Genomic DNA, 19,503 nt, shown 5'->3' on the forward strand with positions numbered 1-19,503 from the left:
AGGAGCTTAGTGCTTATATCCACCAAACCTTACCTCTTTTCTGAATACTTCTTTGCTTTTCTTTGCTAGTTCACTGGAGGTGTCTGCTTCTGCTGTCTTGGGCTTTTTCGAGGCCTAAAAATGGAGGAGAAAACACAGTGGTGCTGGCATGAGAAGTCAGTTTAGTGATGCCCTACTGTCCCAGAACCCTCCTTTCTTTCCCCTAGCAGGGATACCTGATTCTTGGTATTAGAATCCGTTTAGAGGCCCTGACTCAGGTACAAGGCCTGGAGTCAACTTGGCTATTATGTTTCAAATCCTGTTACATGGTTTGGCTCTCCTTCTTATAAGTTAAGTTCCAATTCTCTACCCTAAGTCAAAGCTACAACTTTGATATAGCCACACATTTCAGAGTCACTCATGTCCCTGTTCTGGGTTCAGCTCCCTGAACTATCAAGCAAGGCCGGCACAAAACAAGCTCCATCTCTCCCACCTCTGACACTCTAGGATTCCAGGACAGAGGCGAAATGCTCTGTTCTGAAGACTCTTGAATACTCATCACCTTTCCTCCAAAGGTGGAGTTGGCTAGACTGTAGAAGACAGTCTCAGTATGCAAGAGAGGCTCCTTGGAGGTTGGTACCTTCAGTTTAGGAACAGAAAGATTAAGGAAGTATCACGATATTGACGGGGAGGTGATGAAGGTCATCAAAGCCAGTGAACAGATAAGTAGATGATGACACAGAAGATACTCTATGTCCCCAGCTGGCAAGATAATGACAAACCCAGGAACATTCCCTTCCAGCACTGCTAGAGGGAGGCTTCCAAGTTCCCTCTAACTAGGTACTGCACCAGGAGGCGATGAGTTGGAAGCTTTGGTATTCAGAGCACCTGTCATGCAGGCCATCTCCCCATACCTTTGCCCACCACTAGCCATCAGGCCCCTTCCCAGTAAATGTGCTTTTCCACGGAAAATAATAATTATGAGCATTCCCCTCCAAATATAAGTTACTTCATAATGGATCTAGAAGCTGGAGTTGATATTATAGGTACTTCACACTTTTTTGTTAGGGGCACAGGGTAGAATAATTTTCCTGCTCCCCACCCATCTCCTGGTTCTGCTTCTTCCATTTCCATAAACAGTATGAAGGCTCTGGTTCTAAAGCAGCTGGACTAGCTCCAGAGAAAGGTGGCACTCCCTTGGCTTTAGGCTGTTACAAATCAACTTTCTCTGCTGTGTCATAAAAGCTTTACGTATTTTCTATTTTTCCAATTTCTTCATGTAGCTGTATGGGGAGATTAGGGGGTAGAGTAAAAAGAATATAAAGATCCAATTTGTTTTTTAAGAAAACAAAACTAAGCAAAAATAATGCTAATAATATAAGTTAAGTCTATTTTCAAGTGTTTTGCTTTGGGATTTTGTTATTTTTTTTCCCCCAGTTGTAGATGGTATGAGTATGCTCCACAGTAAGACCTTAGGTAGCAAGGGATCAAGAATTATTTGAGTAAGTCAAGAAAACTTCAACACATCCCCAGCTACTCTCTTGTAGCTCTCAGAAGTCAGCAGCAACAGAAATGAGTACAGAAAGCCCCTTCAGGTCTGGGTATCTCAAAGATCTGGGTCCTATAGAAGAGGCCATGCTCTCAGCGAGGGTACTATGTAAATAGAAATGTCCTGTTTCACTCTGGATAGGGTATGCACTCACAAAGCTAAATGAACCCAAAGCACTTTTAATAGATTTATAATTTAATCCCTGACTTGATGAGGTTGGCGGGGGATTGGTGGGGGGTGGCCTTTAAAAACACAATTATAGAATACAATCCACTGAGCTCTGTCTAGGAGCTTTCTTGGTCCTCCTGAGTGCTGAGCAATTGGGATCGAGAAAGGAAATGATAAAATGAGGGGTCCCCAGACTTACATCATGGAAATCATGAACCAAAATGGAATACTCTTGAGAGTACTGAAATTCATGAAACCCTCTCTTCATGGTCTGTGATTTGCAAATGGCATGGGAAATAATTTCAGAAACTGGCTAACATTTACTCAAATCTAATGCCAGGCAAAGTAACCAGAGTCTGAGTTGAGGACAGCACTTGTTATTGACATGAACAACCTTAGGACCCCCCACTCCAAAAAAGTCCCATTTAAAAATTTAGCAGGTAAGGCTGGGTGTGGTGGCTCACGCCTGTAATCCTAGCACTTTGGGAGGCGGAGGAGGGCGGATCACGAGGTCAAGAGATCAAGACCATCCTGGCCAACATGGTGAAACCTCGTCTCTACTAAAAATACAAAAATTAGCTGGGCGTGGTGGCGCGTGCCTGTAGTCCCAGCTACTTGGGAGGCTGAGGCAGGAGAATCGCTTGTGCCTGTAGTCCCAGCTACTTGGGAGGCTGAGGCAGGAGAATCGTTTGAACCCGGGAGAGGTGGAGGTTGCAGTGAGCTGAGATCATGCCATTGCACTCCAGCCTGGGAGACAGAGCAACAATCTGTCACACACACACACACACACACACACACACACACACACACAAATTTAGCACGTGGGGTTCAGTGACTCATGCCTGTAATCCCAGCACTTTGGGAGGCCAAGATGGGGAGATTGTTTGAGCCCAGGAATTCGAGACCAGCATCTCTATAAAAAAACTGAAAAATTAGCTGGGCATGGTGGCTATGCCTGTGGTCCCAGTTACTTGGGAGGTTGAGGTTGGAGAGTTGCGCGAGCCTAGGAGGTTGAGGCTGCAGTGAGCTGTGATCATGCTACTGCACTCCAGCCTGGGCAACAGAGTGAAATGCTGTCTCCAAAAAGAAAAAAAGCACTTTTAAGGAAACCACCAGAGAACAGGGTAGGGGCTCTGATACATAAAAAAGCGAGTGCTTCCAGATCCTCAGCAATAAACAATAATCAGTTTGCCTTTTCTCTGTGTTGGCTTATATAGAGTATCAGTCAATTAAAGATTCTGGTGGAAATCTATGTGAGGCCGTGGACAGTTAAGAGTACACAATGAAATGAGCAGGCAAAGGGCCTGGCAGAAAGCCAGAGCTTACTGCCTTTAGAAGCTGACCCTGCTGTCAGCCTTCACCTGTGGCACATTTGGATTCCTAGGAAATCTGTTCTGATTATGACAAGGCAGGCCTGAGTACCTTTATATTACCCAAGGTGAAGCTTGAGACCTTCTGGATTAGTTGGCAATGGCCTTAAGCTTATTGGGCAGTTCTGGTAACCATACACAGGCTGTGTAACACAACAGAATCACCCTTTATTATAAATATTGACATGACTATGTCACAAAGCCCATGTGACTTGGAACCAAGAGGGTATGGCTTGAGTTACAGAAATGAGTCCTGACAAAGGCAGAGCAGGACATACCCAGCTAATACTTCTCTCTCCCTGTATTTAATTAAATACTGATTAGAGGGCTGGGCACGGTGGCTCATGCCTGTAATCCTAGCACTTTGGGAGGCTGAGGCGGGTGGATCATGAGGTCAGGAGTTCGAGACCAGCCTGGCCAAGATGGTGAAACCCCGTCTCTACTAAAAAATACAAAAATTAGTCAGGCGCGGCGGCGTGCACCTGTAATCCCAGCTACTCGGGAGGCTGAGGCAGGAGAACTGCTTGAACCCGGGAGGTGGAGTCTGCAGTGAGCTGAGATCGTGCCACTGCACTGCAGCCTGGGTGACAGAGCGAGACTCTGTCTCAAAAAAGAAAAAAAAAATACTGTTTAGAACATAAAATGTAAATCATTCAGTGAGGAACTACATCTTTTGTGGCAGCATGAATCCAGAAGCAGGAGGAGAAGCTGAGCCATCATAAACACTATCCACACAATTCAACCTAAGCTCTGCAGCACATGAACCTGTACATGTCAATTTTTAAAAGGTTAAGATCATTGAAAATAATAAAAACTTAGTACAGCTGGTGTTCTGCATCTGTAGGCCAGCCATGGATAGAAAATATTGAAAAAAAATACAATAAAAATAATACAAATAAGAACCAATTTTAAAAAACCCCAATGCAGTATAACCACTATTTATATAGCATTTACATTGTATTGGGTATTATACGCAACACAGAGGTGATTTACAGCATATGGGAGTATGTGCGTAGGTGACATACAAACACTACGCCCTTGTATATAAGGGACTTGAGCATCTTTAGACTTTGGCATCCATGATAGGGTGTCTTGAAATCAATCCCCTATGGATACAGAGTGACAACTGTAATGTGTCTCAAGGTATTCTTCTTTTGGTTGATTTTACTTGGGATCCTTTAGGCTTCATGAATCCGTATGCCTATTTCCCTCTCTCAAGATGGGAAATTTTCAACATTATTTATTTCTTAAACAAATTTTATATAGCCTGGATGTGGTGGCTCAGGCCTATAATCCCAGCACTTTGGGAGGCCGAGGCGAGCAGATCACTTGAGGCCAGGAGTTTGAGATCAGCCTGGCCAAAAAAGCAAAACCCCATCTCTATTAAAAATACAAAAAGGCCAGGCGTGGTGACTCACGCCTGTAATCCCAGCACTTTGGGAGGCTGAGGCGGGTGGATCACGAGGTCAGGAGATCGAGACCAGCCTGGCTAACGAGGTGAAACACTGTCTCTACTAAAAATACGAAAAATTAGCCAGGCGTGGTGGCAGGCGCCTGTAATCCCAGCTACTTGGGAGGCTGAGGCAGGAGAATTGCTATAACCTGGGAGGCAGAGGGTGCAGTGAGCCAAGATCACACCATTGCACTCCAGCCTGGGCGACAGAGTGAGACTCCGTCTCAAATAAACAAATAAACAAACAAACAAACAAATTAGCTGGGCCTGGTGGTGCATGCCTGTAATCCCAGCTAATTCGGAGGCTGAGGCACAAGAACCACTTGAACCTGGGAGGCAAAGGTTGCAGTGAGACCAGATCACACCACTGCACTCCAGCCTGGGCGACAGAGCAAGACCCCGTTTGAAAAATACATTGGCTCTTGATGCCACCTCTCTGCAACTCCCTCAATGCAACAAATACTCTAAAACTACTATTTTAACATAACATAGTTAGAGGAGATCTATTATACCTTATGACTGTTAATTAAAAGCCAGGAGGCAGCAGTAAATAAACTGCTGCCTCAATTGTGCAAGTAGTAATAATTCAGGTCAGAGGTGCTCAAAGGGAAGACCTGACTTTACACTTTACACTTACCACCACTTACACTTATCTTGATGGTGAGTACAAGACAATGAAGGGAACAACAATGGATGGAAAAGAGAAAAGGAACAGTCTCACAATGTTTAGTCTCATCATCAAAAGCTTTTACTACCAGACAGCACTCTTCAAAGAATTATCTGACCATTATATGCCTTCCCTATGTCACTCCATACAGCTCTGTCTCCAACAAGCACCAATTTACTGATGACTCAAACCCAGATTTGCCTGCCTAGCAGCCACTGCAGGGAGCTCAAACTCCACAATGAACTTAATCTCCACACCTCCTCCTCCTCTTTCTTTCATTCCCTAGGCTGAATGATGGGATCTTATCCACCCAAGCTAAGAATGAGGGTGCAGGCCATCCATGACTCCCTTACTCACTTGTTTGCTAAACCCTCAATCCTGCTTTTCAGTCTTGGCAAGATTCCCCAGCATCTCCAGTCGTAGTTCCTAACTTTGCCTAACTATTAACACTCTCCAATTTGATTTCACTATTACTGATCTCACCTTTATTAATGAGCCCATTTCACTAGAAGGACACACATTTGACTGTCTGACTCCCTTGCATTAAAACCATTTATTGACTCCCAAGTACCTATTATACAACATTACATTAACCATACTAGCAAAGCACTAAGACTTCAGACAATTTAAATCTAACCTACTTTTCCATATCTTTGTCTTGCTAACTTCCCTATATGCATCCAAACTCTCACCAAACCAAATTATTTTTCAGTCTCCTATATATACTGGCTTGTTCTTTCTTAAGCCTTTGCAAAAAATCACCTTATCTACCTAGCATACTCAGTCCTGGTTACCTATAGGTGAAACTGTACTCCTATACATCTCAAACCATGTATCTCTCTGTTCCCAAAGCATTTCATACTTTCTTCTACTATAGCAATTACCCCACTGTATTCTTGCTTTATAAACTTAAACATAAGACCTAAAACCATAAAAAGCCTAGAAGAAAACCTAGGCAATACCATTCAGGACATAGGCATGGGCAAAGACTTCATGTCTAAAACACCAAAAGCAATGGCAACAAAAGCCAAAATTGACAAATGGGATCTAATTAAACTAAAGAGCTTCTGCACAGCAAAAGAAACTACTATCAGAGTGAACAGGCAACCTACAGAATGGGAGAAAATTTTTGCAATCTTTCCATCTGACAAAGGGCTAATATCCAGAATCTACAAAGAACTTAAACAAATTTACAAGAAAAAAACAAACAACTCCATCAAAACGTGGGCATGGATATGAACAGACACTTCTCAAAAAAAGATATTTATGCAGCCAACAAACATATGAAAAAATGATCATCATCACTGGTCATTAGAGAAATGCAAATAAAAACCACAATGAGATACCATCTCACGCCAGTTAGAATGGCAATCACTAAAAAGTTGGGAAACAACAGACACCGGAGAGGTTGTGGAAAATAGGAATGCTTTTACATTGTTGGTGGGAGTGTAAATTAGTTCAACCATTGTGGAAGACAGTGCGGCAATTCCTCAAGGATCTAGAACCAGAAATACCATTTGACCCAGCAATCCCATTACTGGGTATATACCACAAGGATTATAAATCATTCTACTGTAAAGACACATGCACACATATTTTTATTGCAGCACTCTTCAAAATAGCAAAGACTTGGAACCAACCCAAATGTCCATCAACTATAGACTGGATAAAGAAAAGGTGGCATATATACACCATGGAACACTATGCAGCCATAAAAAAGGATGAGTTCATGTCTTTTGCAGGGACATGGATAAAGCTGGAGACCATCATTCTCAGCAAAATAACACAAGAGAACACAAAACCAAACACCACACGTTCTTACTCATAAGTGGGAGTTGAACAATGAGAACACATGGATACAGGAAGGGGAACATCACACACTGGGGCCTGTCAGGGGGTAGGGGACTAGGGGAGGGATGGCATTATGAGAAAAACCTCATGTAGGTGATGGGTTGATGGGTGCAGCAAACCACCATGGCACGTGTATACCTATATAACAAAACTGCACGTTCTGCACATGTACCCCAGAACTTAAAGTATATATATATAAAATAAATAAATAAAATAAGCCAATCACAAAAGGCCATATATTGTATTATTTCATTTACATAAAATGCCCACAAGAGGCAGATCTATCAAGAAAGAAAATGGATTGGCTCATGCCTGTAATCCCAGCACTTTGGGAAGCTGAGGTGGGCAGATCACAAGGTCAGGAGATCGAGATCATTCTGGCTAACACGGTGAAACCCCATCTCTACTAAAAAATATTTAAAAAATTAGCCATGCGTGGTGGCGGGCGCCTGTAGTCCCAGCTACTCAGGAGGCTGAGGCAGGAGAATGGCATGACCCGAGAGGCGGAGCTTGCAGTAAGCTGAGATCGCACCACTGCACTCCAGCCTGGGCGACAGAGCGAGACTCCATCTCAAAAAAAAAAAAAAAAAAAAAAAAAGAGAACACATGGACACAGGAAGGGGAACATCACACACCAGGGACTGTTGTGGGGTGGGTTGAAGTGGGAGGGATAGCATTAGGAGATATACCTAATGCTAAATGACAAGTTAATGGGTGCAGCACACCAACATGGCACGTGTATACATATGTAACAAACCTGCACATTGTGCACATGTACCCTAAAACTTAAAGTATAATAATAATAAAATTTAAAAAAAAATGGATTAGTGCCTGGGCTAGGAAGTCACTGCAAATGGGTATGAGAGGTCTTATTGGGAGGAGGAAAATGTTCTAAAACCAGATTATGGTAATGGCTGCATAATTTGGTAAATTACTAAAAGCTATTAAATTGTAAATCTAAAGCGACTAGATTTTATACTAGGTTTATTATACCTCAATAAAGTTGCTGCTGCTGCTGGTTTTTTTTTTTGTTTTTGTTTTTTTTTTTGAGATGGAGTCTCGCTGTTGCCCAGGCTGGAGTGCAGTGGCGCGATCTCGGCTCACTGCAACCTCCGCCTCCCGGGTTCACGCCATTCTCCTGCCTCAGCCTCCCGAGTAGCTAGGACTACAGGCGCCCCCCCGCACACCTGACTAATTTTTTGTATTTTTTTTAGTAGAATTGGGGTTTCACTGTGTTAGCCAGGATGCTGGTTTTTTTGTTTTGTTTTGTTTTTAAAAAGCTTGTCCAGACTTGTGCTTCTGGTCATGACAGATTAACTGTTAAATGAATTAGCCCTCTCAGAGTTAAAAACTGGAAAACTAGACAAAATACATGAAAAAGGCAGTTTGCACACACTGGACATTAAGCAGCACTAAACTATGATCCTGAGACAAGGGACAAAATGAGGTAAGCCCTATGATTACCTTGGCTTTTCTGCGTGGAGAAATTTACCAGACTCTGGGGCAGAGAGGAAAACCCACGCACAGCATGGAGTTCTCAGTGAGCTAAGGAGACAAGGATTGGAATTTAGAGTATCTGAGATAAACTATAAGCTAACAATTCTCAGAGCTCACAAAAGGCTGGGAAACATGTGAGCTTCCATCAGCTAAAGTGAAGAGATATCCATTAGATAACCTGTGGCATTCAGTGGAGATCCCAGACAGGTGATGCCTTAGGAGATACCCTAGAGAAAAAATTACTCTGGACTCAACCCGACAAAGATTAAGAACAGCCTCTAAAAAATCAAGGTGATCCACAAGTAACTTGACTGGCTATCAGAACAAAGCTCAACATTCTTAATGGAAAGTAACAAAATTCTGAAACTCAACAATGTAATGGTCACAATGTCCAGTGTTCAACTGAAAATAGCAGGCAACTATTAAAAAGCTATTATAAATGCTCACAGTTATGAAAGAAAACATGAACACAGTGAAGAAATTAAAACTACTGGGCCAAAGGGACAGACTCCTGAGAAGCACAGGTGGCATCATGTTCCTGACTGTCCTCCCCAACCACAGTAGCATTCCTGGTGGCAGTAGATTGGTCATCTGGAGAACCACTACTGGCTGAGCATGCCCTACCTGACCACAGGGCAGGAGTAGGCTACACTGTAGTGCACAGGGCAGAGGCCTTTGAGGCCATGAAGACAGCCAACACTTCCAAGTTCCCCTCACATAGATTTGTTGTAGACTAGCTCGACCATCTCAATGTCACCAACAAATGGTCCTAACCCTGAACTATCAAACACCCCCAAACTTTTAATTTTTTTTTTTTTTTTGAGACGAGGTCTCACTCTGTCACCAGGCTGGAGTGCAGTGGCATGATCTTGGCTCACTGCAGCCTCGACCTCTGGGGCTTAGGTGATCCTCCCACCTAAGCCCTCCAAGTAGCTGGGACTACACATGTGCACCAACATGCCTAATTTTTTTTTTTGCATTTTTTAATGGTTTTGCCATGTTGCTCAGTCTGGTCTCAAACTCCTGGGCTTGAGGGATCCACCTGCTTTGGCATCCCAAAGTGCTAGGATTATACAGGTGTGAGCCACTGCGTCAAGCCACCCTTCAATCTTGTAGATCACAGGGCTGCCCTGTCTTTATCTGGTCATGGAACTCAAACTGTAGCTTCTATAAAAATGTAAGCCTATGGATCAGAAACTTATTAAAACACACAAATAAAAAGCAAAAAAAAAAAACAAAATAAAAAACACACAAATATAAGTATAGTGGTCTGCATATAGAATACCTGGGACTCTAACCCCCTTAATACTTAAAAATATAATCACTGTCCTATTGTGTTTCTTGTTTCTTTGACCTGACAGGAAGATATCAGGGATTTCCTGGGGAACACATGGTATAAAATGTATTTTGAAAAAAGCTACAATAAAGCTACAAACTATGATTTGGGGGTATTTGCTTAAGTATGAGATACTTGATAGGGGCTTTATCATGCAAAGTTAGTTTGCTTAACTGCCAACACTTAAATGCAGTTTTTCAGTTAAACATATTCCTAAAAATAGCATTTTATTCTGGGACTTGACTACAAAAAGCGGACATTTAAATGAAGTAAAAATGGCTGGGCACGACGACTCACACCTGTAATCCCAGCACTTTGGGAAGCCCAGATGGGCAGATCACTTGAGGTCAGGAGTTTGAGACCAGCCTGGCCAACAGGGCAAAACCCCATAAAAATACAAAAATTAGCTGGGCGTGGTAGCAGGCACCTGTAATCCCAGCTACTTGGGAGGCTAAGGCAGGAGAATCACTTAAACCTGGGAAGCGGAGGTTGCAGTGAGCCGAGATCGCACCACCGAACTCCAGCCTGGGCAACAGAGTGAGACCCTGTCTTGAAAAAAAATAAAATAAAATAAAATATGAAAAATACAATGAAGTGAAAGGTATTTATCAGCACTGTTAAAAATAAAAAAGAAATTAAAACTATTAAAAAATATGCAAATTAAAATTTGAGAGCAGAAAAATATAACTGAAATTTTAAAATGAATCAATGGATGAGCTTAGCTAATTCAATACAGCAGAAGGTAAATCAGTGAACTTTAAATAGAGGCCAACAGAAACCACGCAAACTGAAGCACAGGGAGAAAAGAGCTGAAAAAAATTTGACAGAGATGTGGTGCTCTGTGAGACAGTATCAAGCGGTTTAATAACATGTATGTAATTGGAGTCCCAGGAAAAGGGACAATGGTATAAAAAGATATATTTGAAAAAATTTCCATATTTGATGAAAACTACCAATCATGGATCTAAAATGTACAAGAATCACAAGCAGATTAAACACAAAGAAAACAAAACCAAGGTATACCACAAACCGCTAAAAACTGTTTATAAAAGGCAAAATCAAGACATATGGGGGAAAAAGATAATTATATTTTTATTAGAAACTATTATTAAAAAATGGAAACATCTTTTAAGTGTTGAAAGGAAGAAAATATAAATTTAGAATTCCATATCCAGTGAGAGTATCTGTCATAATAAACCTGTACATGGATGTTTTTAGTAGCTTTATTTATAATTGCCAAAAGTTGGAAGCAACCAAGATGTCCTTCAGTAAGTGAATGATAAACAAACTGCGGCGCACTCAGACATTCAGTGCTAAAACGAAATGAGCTATCAGGCCATGAAAAGACATGGTGGAAGCCTCAATGCATATTGCTAAGTGAATGAAGCCGATCTGAAAAGGCTACCTACTGTAGCTAACTATATGACATTCTGGAAAAAGCAAAACTATGAAGACTGTAAAAAGATCAGTGGTTACCAGGAACTGGGGAAGAGGGATGAGGAGAGAAGGCATGATGAGTAAGCAGCAGCTCAAATGATTTTTAGGGCAGTGAAACTATTCTGTACGTTACTATGATGCTATATAGATGACACGATACCTTTGTTAAAACCCACAAATGTACAATACCAAGAATGAACCCTAATGTAAATTATGGACTTTGGGTGGTAATAATGTGTCATAGTAGATTCATCAATTGTAACAAAGTACCACTCTTGTGCTTTGATGTTGACAGAAAGGGAAGCTTGTGCGTGTGTAGTGACAGGGGGTATATGGAAACTCTCCGTACTTCCTGTTCAATTTTGCTATGCCAAAACAGAACTAAAATTGCTTTAAAAATAAAGACTACTTTTTAAAAAGTGGTAAGATAAATACCTTTCTTCAGACAAACAAAAGCTGACAAAATGCATCAACAGTAGATCTGAAATACTAGAAATGTTAAAGGAAATTCTTTAGGCTAAAGGAAAATGATTCCAGATGGAAATTCAAATCTACATGAGAGAATGAAGAGTGCTGGAAATGGTAAATATGTGGGTAAATATAGGACTTAATGGTAGATTGTGATAAGATAAATATGCATACTGTAAACCTTACAACACTGTTTTTTCAAATGTGTAGGTACAAAGAGTATAAATATCCCTTTATATTCTTAAAACACTGAGGACCGCAAAGAGCTTTTATTCGTATGGGTTATAGCTATCAAAATTTTTCATATTAGAAATTAAGTTAAACTGAGAAAAAATAAAGCATTATTTTAAAATAACATTAGCAAATCTATTATATAACAATACATATAACAATAATATAATTTTTTGTGAAAAGTAACTGTTTTCCAAAACTAAAGCAATTCAGTTAAGAGTGGCAGTTTTACATTTTGGAAATCTCTTTAAACATCTCGCTTAGAATACAGCTGAAGTCTCATTGCCTTCTGCATTCAAATATGTCATGTGCCCCCTGGAAAATTCCATGGTATATTTGTGAATGTACCAAATGTGACAGAGGCATGTAATGTTTTCATATTATTATTAAAACAGCTTTGACCTTGTGGCTCCCTTGAAAGAGTCTTAGGAACCTAGAGGTCCCCACACCAAACTTTGAGAACCACTGTCTTAAAACCACCACCAAGAAGTAAAGCAGGCCAGGTGTGGTGGCTCACACCTATAATCCCAGCACTTTGGGAGGCCACAACAGGAAAATTGCTTGACACCAGAAGTTTGAGACCAGCCTGGTCACCAACACCACCAGACCCTGTCTCTACAAAAATGTACAAAACTTAGCTACTTGGGTGGCTAAGACGGGAGGATCATCTGAGCCTGGTAGGTGGAGACTACAGTGAACCCTGATGGTGCCACTGCACTCCAGCCTGGGAAACAGAGTGAACCATGGCTCAAAAAAATAAAAAATAAAAGAAAATAAAGAGGTATGGCTAAGCCAATAGGAAAAACAAAAACAAAAAAAAACCAGAATACTTGAAATAAATTCTAAATCAATCCAAAAGAAAGCAAAGACAAATAAAAATTTAAAAACAAATAATAAAGCTGGGCACGGTGGCTCACACCTATAATCCCGGCACTTTAGGAGGCCGAGACAAGTGGATCACCTGAGGTCAGGAGTTCGAGACCAGCCTGGCCAACATGGTGAAACCCTGTCTCTACTCCAAATACAAAAATCAGCCAGGCGTGGTGGCAGGTGCCTGTAATCCCAGCTACTCAGTAGGCTGAGGCATGAGAATCGTTTGAACCCGGGAGGCAGAAGTTGCAATGAGCCGAGATCGCACCACTGCACCCCAGCCTGGGCAACAGAACTAGACTGTCTCAGAGATGAAAAAAAAAAAGCCATCCTTAAAGACTGAATTGCTTTCCACAAGTACTTGTCAATTCCTTTATTTACAGTATCATTTCTGAATTTTAGGGCCTATAAACATAAGCCTTGAGATAAATTTTACTAAAAAAAAATTCAAAGGTTTCCCACCATACAAAGGTTCATATTCTTTTACATTTTCAAATCCCCAAGATCTATCCCCAACAATGCCCTTCCAACCTCATGCTGGATTACAAGTTTTATGATGCCTATGTTCCCATACAAGTAAACAGAGCTATTCCCCAAACATATCCCGAACACTCCCTTCCTTCCCTGCCTTTGCTCCAGCTTTCCTTTTAGCCTATCTTTGCTTACTGAAAAATTCCTCATCCTTTAAAGCTCAAATGCCACTTTCTCACAAAGTCCTCCTAACTTTCTCTGGTTGAGTTTCTTCTATGCTCCCAGGATGAAAAAGCATAACAGAGCTATAAGCAACCATTTGTACCATGCTGAGGAAGCACATGGTGCAGGACTGCCAGTGTAGGCAGGGACAGGCTTGAAGGAGAAGTAATCTAGAAGGAGGCTGGCTTGAAGCCTAGGGGAATGTGTGTATCTCCTAAGAACTGAGGGGGACTCAGCTCTTGAGTATAGAGAAGTTAATCTGATTGATTGTATATGTGAATTTCTGACTGAAAACCAAGACCAAATCTTAACACTTGCACTCAAGTAACTAAAGTTATAAGCCCTGTCATGGTTTGATTTTTTTTTTTTTTTTTTTTTTTTTTGAGACAGAGTCTCGCTCTTGTTGTCCAGGTTGGAGTGCAGTGGTGCAATCTTGGCTCACTGCAACCCCCGTCTCCCGGGTTCAAGCGATTCTCTTGCCTCAGCCTTTCAAGCAGCTGGGATTACCATGTGCTCAGGCATGTGCCACCATGCCCAGCTAATTTTTCTATTTTTAGTAGAGACAGTGTTTCACCATGTTGGCCAGGCTGGTCTCAAACTCCTGACCTCAGGTGATCCACCTGCCTGGGCCTCCCAAAGTGCTAGGATTACAGGCTTGAGCCACAGGGTTTCACCATGTTGGCTAGGCTAGTCTTGAACTCCTGGCCTCAAGTGATCGGGCCACCTCAGCCTCCCAAAGTAGGCTGCCGTGCCTAGCCTATGATTATTCTTTTTGGGAGAGAAGACCTCTACCTTTATTTGTTCACAACAGGAAATACATTTGGCAGCTTAATTCTTTCTGCACTCTCATTATTATTTGCGGATTTATTTATGTATACATACAATGGCAGAAAAGAATAAAAGTGCCTCTCCAATCTTCTCTAACAACTGAGTGAAGCTGATACCTTTGAATCTCCATTGGAACTACTACTCTATAACCCCCCGAGGCAGTTAAGAGCTAGTATTAGGAGGAATGTTTTCTCTTTATAATCTCCCGTTCCCTTTCGTTTTTATACATGTACCTCCCCCAACACACATGAGCATATCAATATATCAGAATTAATTGTGAATTAAGTGTTAGATTTAGTTTAGTGCTCTTTTCCTTCCTAGGATAGACTATATTTTCTTTTGCAGGCCTCTAAAGTCCTTGTTTGTTGTCTCTACAACAATTTTTAACAATTAGCCAGGCATGGTGGCATGTACCTATAGTCCTAGCCACTCAGGAGGCTGAGACGAAAGGATTACTTGAGCCTGAGAGTTCGAGGTTACGGTAAGCTATGCTTGCACCACTGTACTCCAGCCTGGGCTACAGAGTGAGGGAGACCCTGCCTCTAAAAACAAAGCAAAGCAAATCAAATGACAAAATAAATAAATCCCTCAGTTTACCACTTAACATATAATACCGTACATTTTCAAACCTTACCTTCCTATGACCCCTGGGAGCAATAGCCTTGCCTTATACTGTTTTTGTACCCCCAGGTCTGGGCATGGCATTTGTGCTGAATAGGAACTCAAATGTCTGATAAATAACCAAAATGTGAAAGAGTGAGATGAAGTTCAGATCTGTGTGTATTTAAAATGTGTATTTAGAGATCCAAAGTTCCAAGCTAGTAGATTATAATTCAGGCATTGCCTTTTGGATATAATACTTTCAAGAGCCTACTCCCCAGGCACACATGCACCTATGGTAACAGAGGAGTAAAGATCAAACATAACCTGACAAATATACTCACTCTGGGTGGTTGGATATAGTAAGGTTTTATGATCATACTTCTCTTACAGTTGATCACAGACAATACTGCCAATTATTTAGACTTGAATGTGTAATTACCTTGGGACCTTGTATCACTTCAGATTCTGATCTAGCAGGTCTGGGACAGGGAGTGAGACTCTGCATTTTTAACAGGTGGTGCCTGGTGCTCTTGGGTGCTGAGCAGACCTAACTACTACAATAAGCTCATTGTGAAGGCGCCAGCTCCATGGTCAACCCCTCCAGTCCATCTCCAGCAGAGAGCCTTGTAAAAGGCAAATGTTACTGATCAAATCACTTTAAAGGTTTCCCTTTCTCACCAGCTAGCCAGAGAATGAACGTCTAATTGTGTAGCATGGCACATAAGCTGCCCTTTTACTTGGCCCCTACTTCTCAGCTCCTACTTTGTGCTTGGCTAGTTTGATGACCTGGATTTCCTAACACAGGTCTTCATATAAGAAAGGCAATTCCTTGAGCATTAAATAAGCAACAGTGAACTTCATGCCCATTCCTCATTCGCTTTGAAAGGCCTAATTTAATATGCATATACTAGACCAAAAGACTGAATCAAGATTAATAGTTACGGTGCCCATGAACTTGGGCTTTTAAGAAGGGTAAGGCCTCCAACATGCTTTATAAACTTGGCCCCAGAACTCAGCTGTATTGCTGCACCAGATCTTATCTTAATCCCTTTGTTTATTTTTCAAAAGATATAACTAACACAGTACAGAAGTCTGGAAATGGGAGTTGTGATTTTTGTTTGTATTTAAGCTTACATATAATTTAAATGTCAAGTGCCTAGCAGTCTTGGGCATATTCCTAAATGATTCAGGAAAACAAGACAGCACAACAGCTGGAGTGAAGTGGCTAAGTGATTTATGTGATTCATTTGAAATTTAGCAAACTCCACATGGATTGAACGTAAGTGTGTATCTTTTTGCAAATGCCAAACACATGTGAAAAGAGGAAAATATTTCCTCCAAAAGTGAATAAAATATAAACAAGAATGAATTCATTTCTACTTTAATCCCTTCTCACTCCAGCTCCTTTTCTTCCCTCTTCCTTCTTCCACCTATTCCCAATAATTTAACCACTGAAGTACTTAATTCTTTTCAAAATTAAAAAAATATTAGTCAGGTTTTAGAACATAAAAATATGATATCTGATTTCATTCAAGACACTTCATACGGTCAGCTGTGGTGGCTCATGCCTGTAATCCCAACACTTTGGGAGGCTGAAGCAGCCAGATTGCTTGAGGTCAGGAGTTCAAGGCCAGCCTGGGCAACACGATAAAACCTCATCTCTACTAAAAATACAAACATTAGCCAGGCATGGTGGCGCACACCTATAATCCCAGCTACTTGGGTGGTTGAGACATGAGAACTGCTGAAGCCCAGGAGGCAGAGGTTGCAGTGAGCCAAGATCACACCAAAAAAAACAAAAAACACAACAACAAAACCCACCCCTCCTATTGGTTTTGAACAGACCAATCACGAAAGCATATGTTATGGGCACTAACAACAGAATGCAAAGAGAGGCCGGGCGTGGTGGCTCACATCTATAATCCCAGCACTTCAGGAGGCCAAGGCAGGCAGATCACCTGTGGTCAGGAGTTCAAAACCAGCCTGGCCAACATGGTGAAACCCTGTCTCTACTACAAATACAAAAATTAGCCGGGCGTGGAGTGCACATCTGTAGTCCCAGCTACTCGGGAGGCTAAGGCAGGAGAATTGCTTGAACCCAGGAGGCAGAGGTTACAGTGAGCCGAGATTGTACCACTGCACTCCAGCCCGGGCAACAGAGTGAGACTCCGTCTCATTTAAAAAAAAAAGGCAAAGAGAACAAGAGAGGCCCTGAAGCGATCATAGTAATGGGTGTTTTGAACACCCATCACAATTCTTGGCCATATATCTCCCTCAAATGAGTAAGTAGTTAGTATGCATCTGAGTCTCTCAATGTCTAAAAAAGGCCATTCTTTTTTTTTTTTTTTTTTTTTTTTTTGAAAAGGGATTCAGGGTTGTAATGGGATTATTTTTTATATTTTTTTATTTTATTATTATTATACTTTAAGTTTTAGGGTAGATGTGCACAACGTGCAGGTTTGTTACATATGTATACATGTGCCATGTTGGTGTACTGCACCCATTAACTCGTCATTTAGCATTAGGTATATCTCCTAATGCTATCCCTCCCCCCTCCCCCCCACCCCACAACAGTCCCCAGAGTGTGATGTTCCCCTTCCTGTGTCCATGTGTTCTCGTTGTTCAATTCCCACCTATGAGTGAGAACGTGCGGTGTTTGGTTTTTTGTCCTTGCGATAGTTTGCTGAGAATGATGATTTCCAGTTTCATCCATGTCCCTACAAAGGACATGAACTCATCATTTTTTATGGCTGCATAGTATTCCATGGTGTATATGTAAAAAGGCCATTCTTTCTCCCTGACTTCATCTCTACACCTTGATACATGCATAGTCACTCACTTATTTTTCAGAATAAAGAAAAAAGAATCCCAAGACCATGCGGGATGGTCTTGGACGGACTCCCAAATGATCAGGAAATACATGTGTAAGCCACACTCACCTTCATGGGGTTTTCATCATATGTTGGAGTTCCCAGGTCCATCTCAGCTTCATGCTCAAGGCTGGCATCATCTCCTGGGCTTTCCCAAGTAGGAGGATCCCACTGAGTCTGCCTAGAAAGAGACAAAAACAGCCATGCTGTCAGGGCTAGGAAACAGAGAATCCTGACATAAACATCACTGCTCATACATACATAAAATACAACATACAATAAGACATAGAATAAGTCAGCTCCATGAGTTAAAGACAAACTTTTTCTATCTTCCTAACAGCAATGATTCTAGCACAGAGATATGCCCCTCTTCAATGACTGTATTTCTGTGGGCAATGATGTGGCAACACTGACTGGGTGTCAAAGAGAGCAGTAAACCCAAACATCCTGTCTGTCTCTCACCTGACTCTTAATGTCATGCAAATAAGACTGGGCAAAGCCTAAAATGTACAGGAAATAGGTCCCTGCCTATGTCACCCCTCTGTAGATGAAGAGGTAAACAGTGACTGTACCTAGCATATAAATGGAGCAAAATAAATCATGTAACACCTCTCACAGTCCTTGACCACGTGAGAAAATTATCCCTTGCTTTAGGAGTTTTCTTTTTAATAGTTCTGCCCCTCTGGTTTAATGACTGACAAGAAAAATACGTACAGGTTAAAAACTTGTACCCCTGGCCAGGCATGGTGGCTCATGCCTGTACTCCCAGCACTTTGGGAGGCTGAGGCAGGTGGATCACCTGAGGTCAGGAGTTCGAGACCAGCCTGGCCAACACGGTGAAACCCCATCTCTACTATAAATACAAAAAATTTGCCAGTCGTGGTGGCGGGCGCCTGTAATCCCAGCTACTCAGGAGGCTGAGTCAGTAGAATAACTTCAACCTGGGAGGCGGAGGTTGCAGTGAGCCAAGATCGTGCCATTGCACTCCAGCCTGGGCAACAAGAGTGAAACTCTGTCTTAAAAAACAAACAAAAAAAAAAACAAAAACTTGTACCCTCTGCTAAAAATATTCCCGACCGACTGCAAAAAGAAGGTTTCGGCCATGTTAACCCTTTAAATGTTTACAGTCATTTTGAAAATAAGCAAGCAAAGATTTTTCTTTTTTAAAAAAGATCTGTAGGATAAAAAGTGGAAGTAAGGATATTCACGTTCAGGAGTCTGAAGCCAGCTGTAACAGAGAATGTTATGAGGACAGTGACTTAAAATGTCAAAAGCCTCAAAGGATCTAACAAATCTGGCAGGTCAGTCTTGTCACTACAGTCTTCTGCTTTACCACCACATCAATCTTCAGTCAACAACATAACAACATTAAAGACACTTGATATAAATCAGTGTATATACATATATATAGACTATTGTAAAAATAGGCTTACCTCTGACCTATGGAACTCATTTATTTTAAAAGGCTCAAGATTTCTACCATAATAAAAGAACCACAAGCAGCTAAGGATGTTATTATAGAAACTGAACAAATATATACATGTCTGTTCTTAGCTACCAGATAAAGAAAACCTAGAAAAGATGGGAAAGGTACACATATAAATAAGAAATACAAACTTTTTTTTTTTTTTAT

General features: G+C 41.4%; 1 protein-coding gene and 1 pseudogene across 7 annotated transcripts in view; one reads left to right on the plus strand and one right to left on the minus strand.

Annotated features, from left to right (window-relative positions):
* SETD2 (SET domain containing 2, histone lysine methyltransferase) overlaps window positions 1-19,503 on the minus strand; it is a 148,405-nt gene that overhangs the window by 3,291 nt on the left and 125,611 nt on the right. For 6 of the 7 annotated variants that reach the window (NR_146158.3, XM_024453487.2, XM_047448045.1 and 3 more), the window contains 2 exons: window positions 17,940-18,051; window positions 34-114 (listed from right to left, as the gene is read on the minus strand). Coding sequence is in view for 5 of the 7 variants with exons in the window: in XM_024453487.2 (XP_024309255.1) it covers window positions 34-114; window positions 17,940-18,051 (193 nt within the window). In the remaining 2 variants the exon portion in view is untranslated. Of the gene's footprint in view, window positions 1-33; window positions 115-17,939; window positions 18,052-19,503 lie in introns of those variants that run through there. The other variant, XR_007095670.1, reaches the window with a different exon arrangement.
* On the plus strand, window positions 9,118-9,313 carry MRPL57P3 (mitochondrial ribosomal protein L57 pseudogene 3; annotated as a pseudogene).

Source organism: Homo sapiens, chromosome 3 (genome assembly GCF_000001405.40).
Source record: "Homo sapiens chromosome 3, GRCh38.p14 Primary Assembly".
In the NCBI taxonomy this organism is placed as follows: Eukaryota; Metazoa; Chordata; class Mammalia; order Primates; family Hominidae; genus Homo; species Homo sapiens.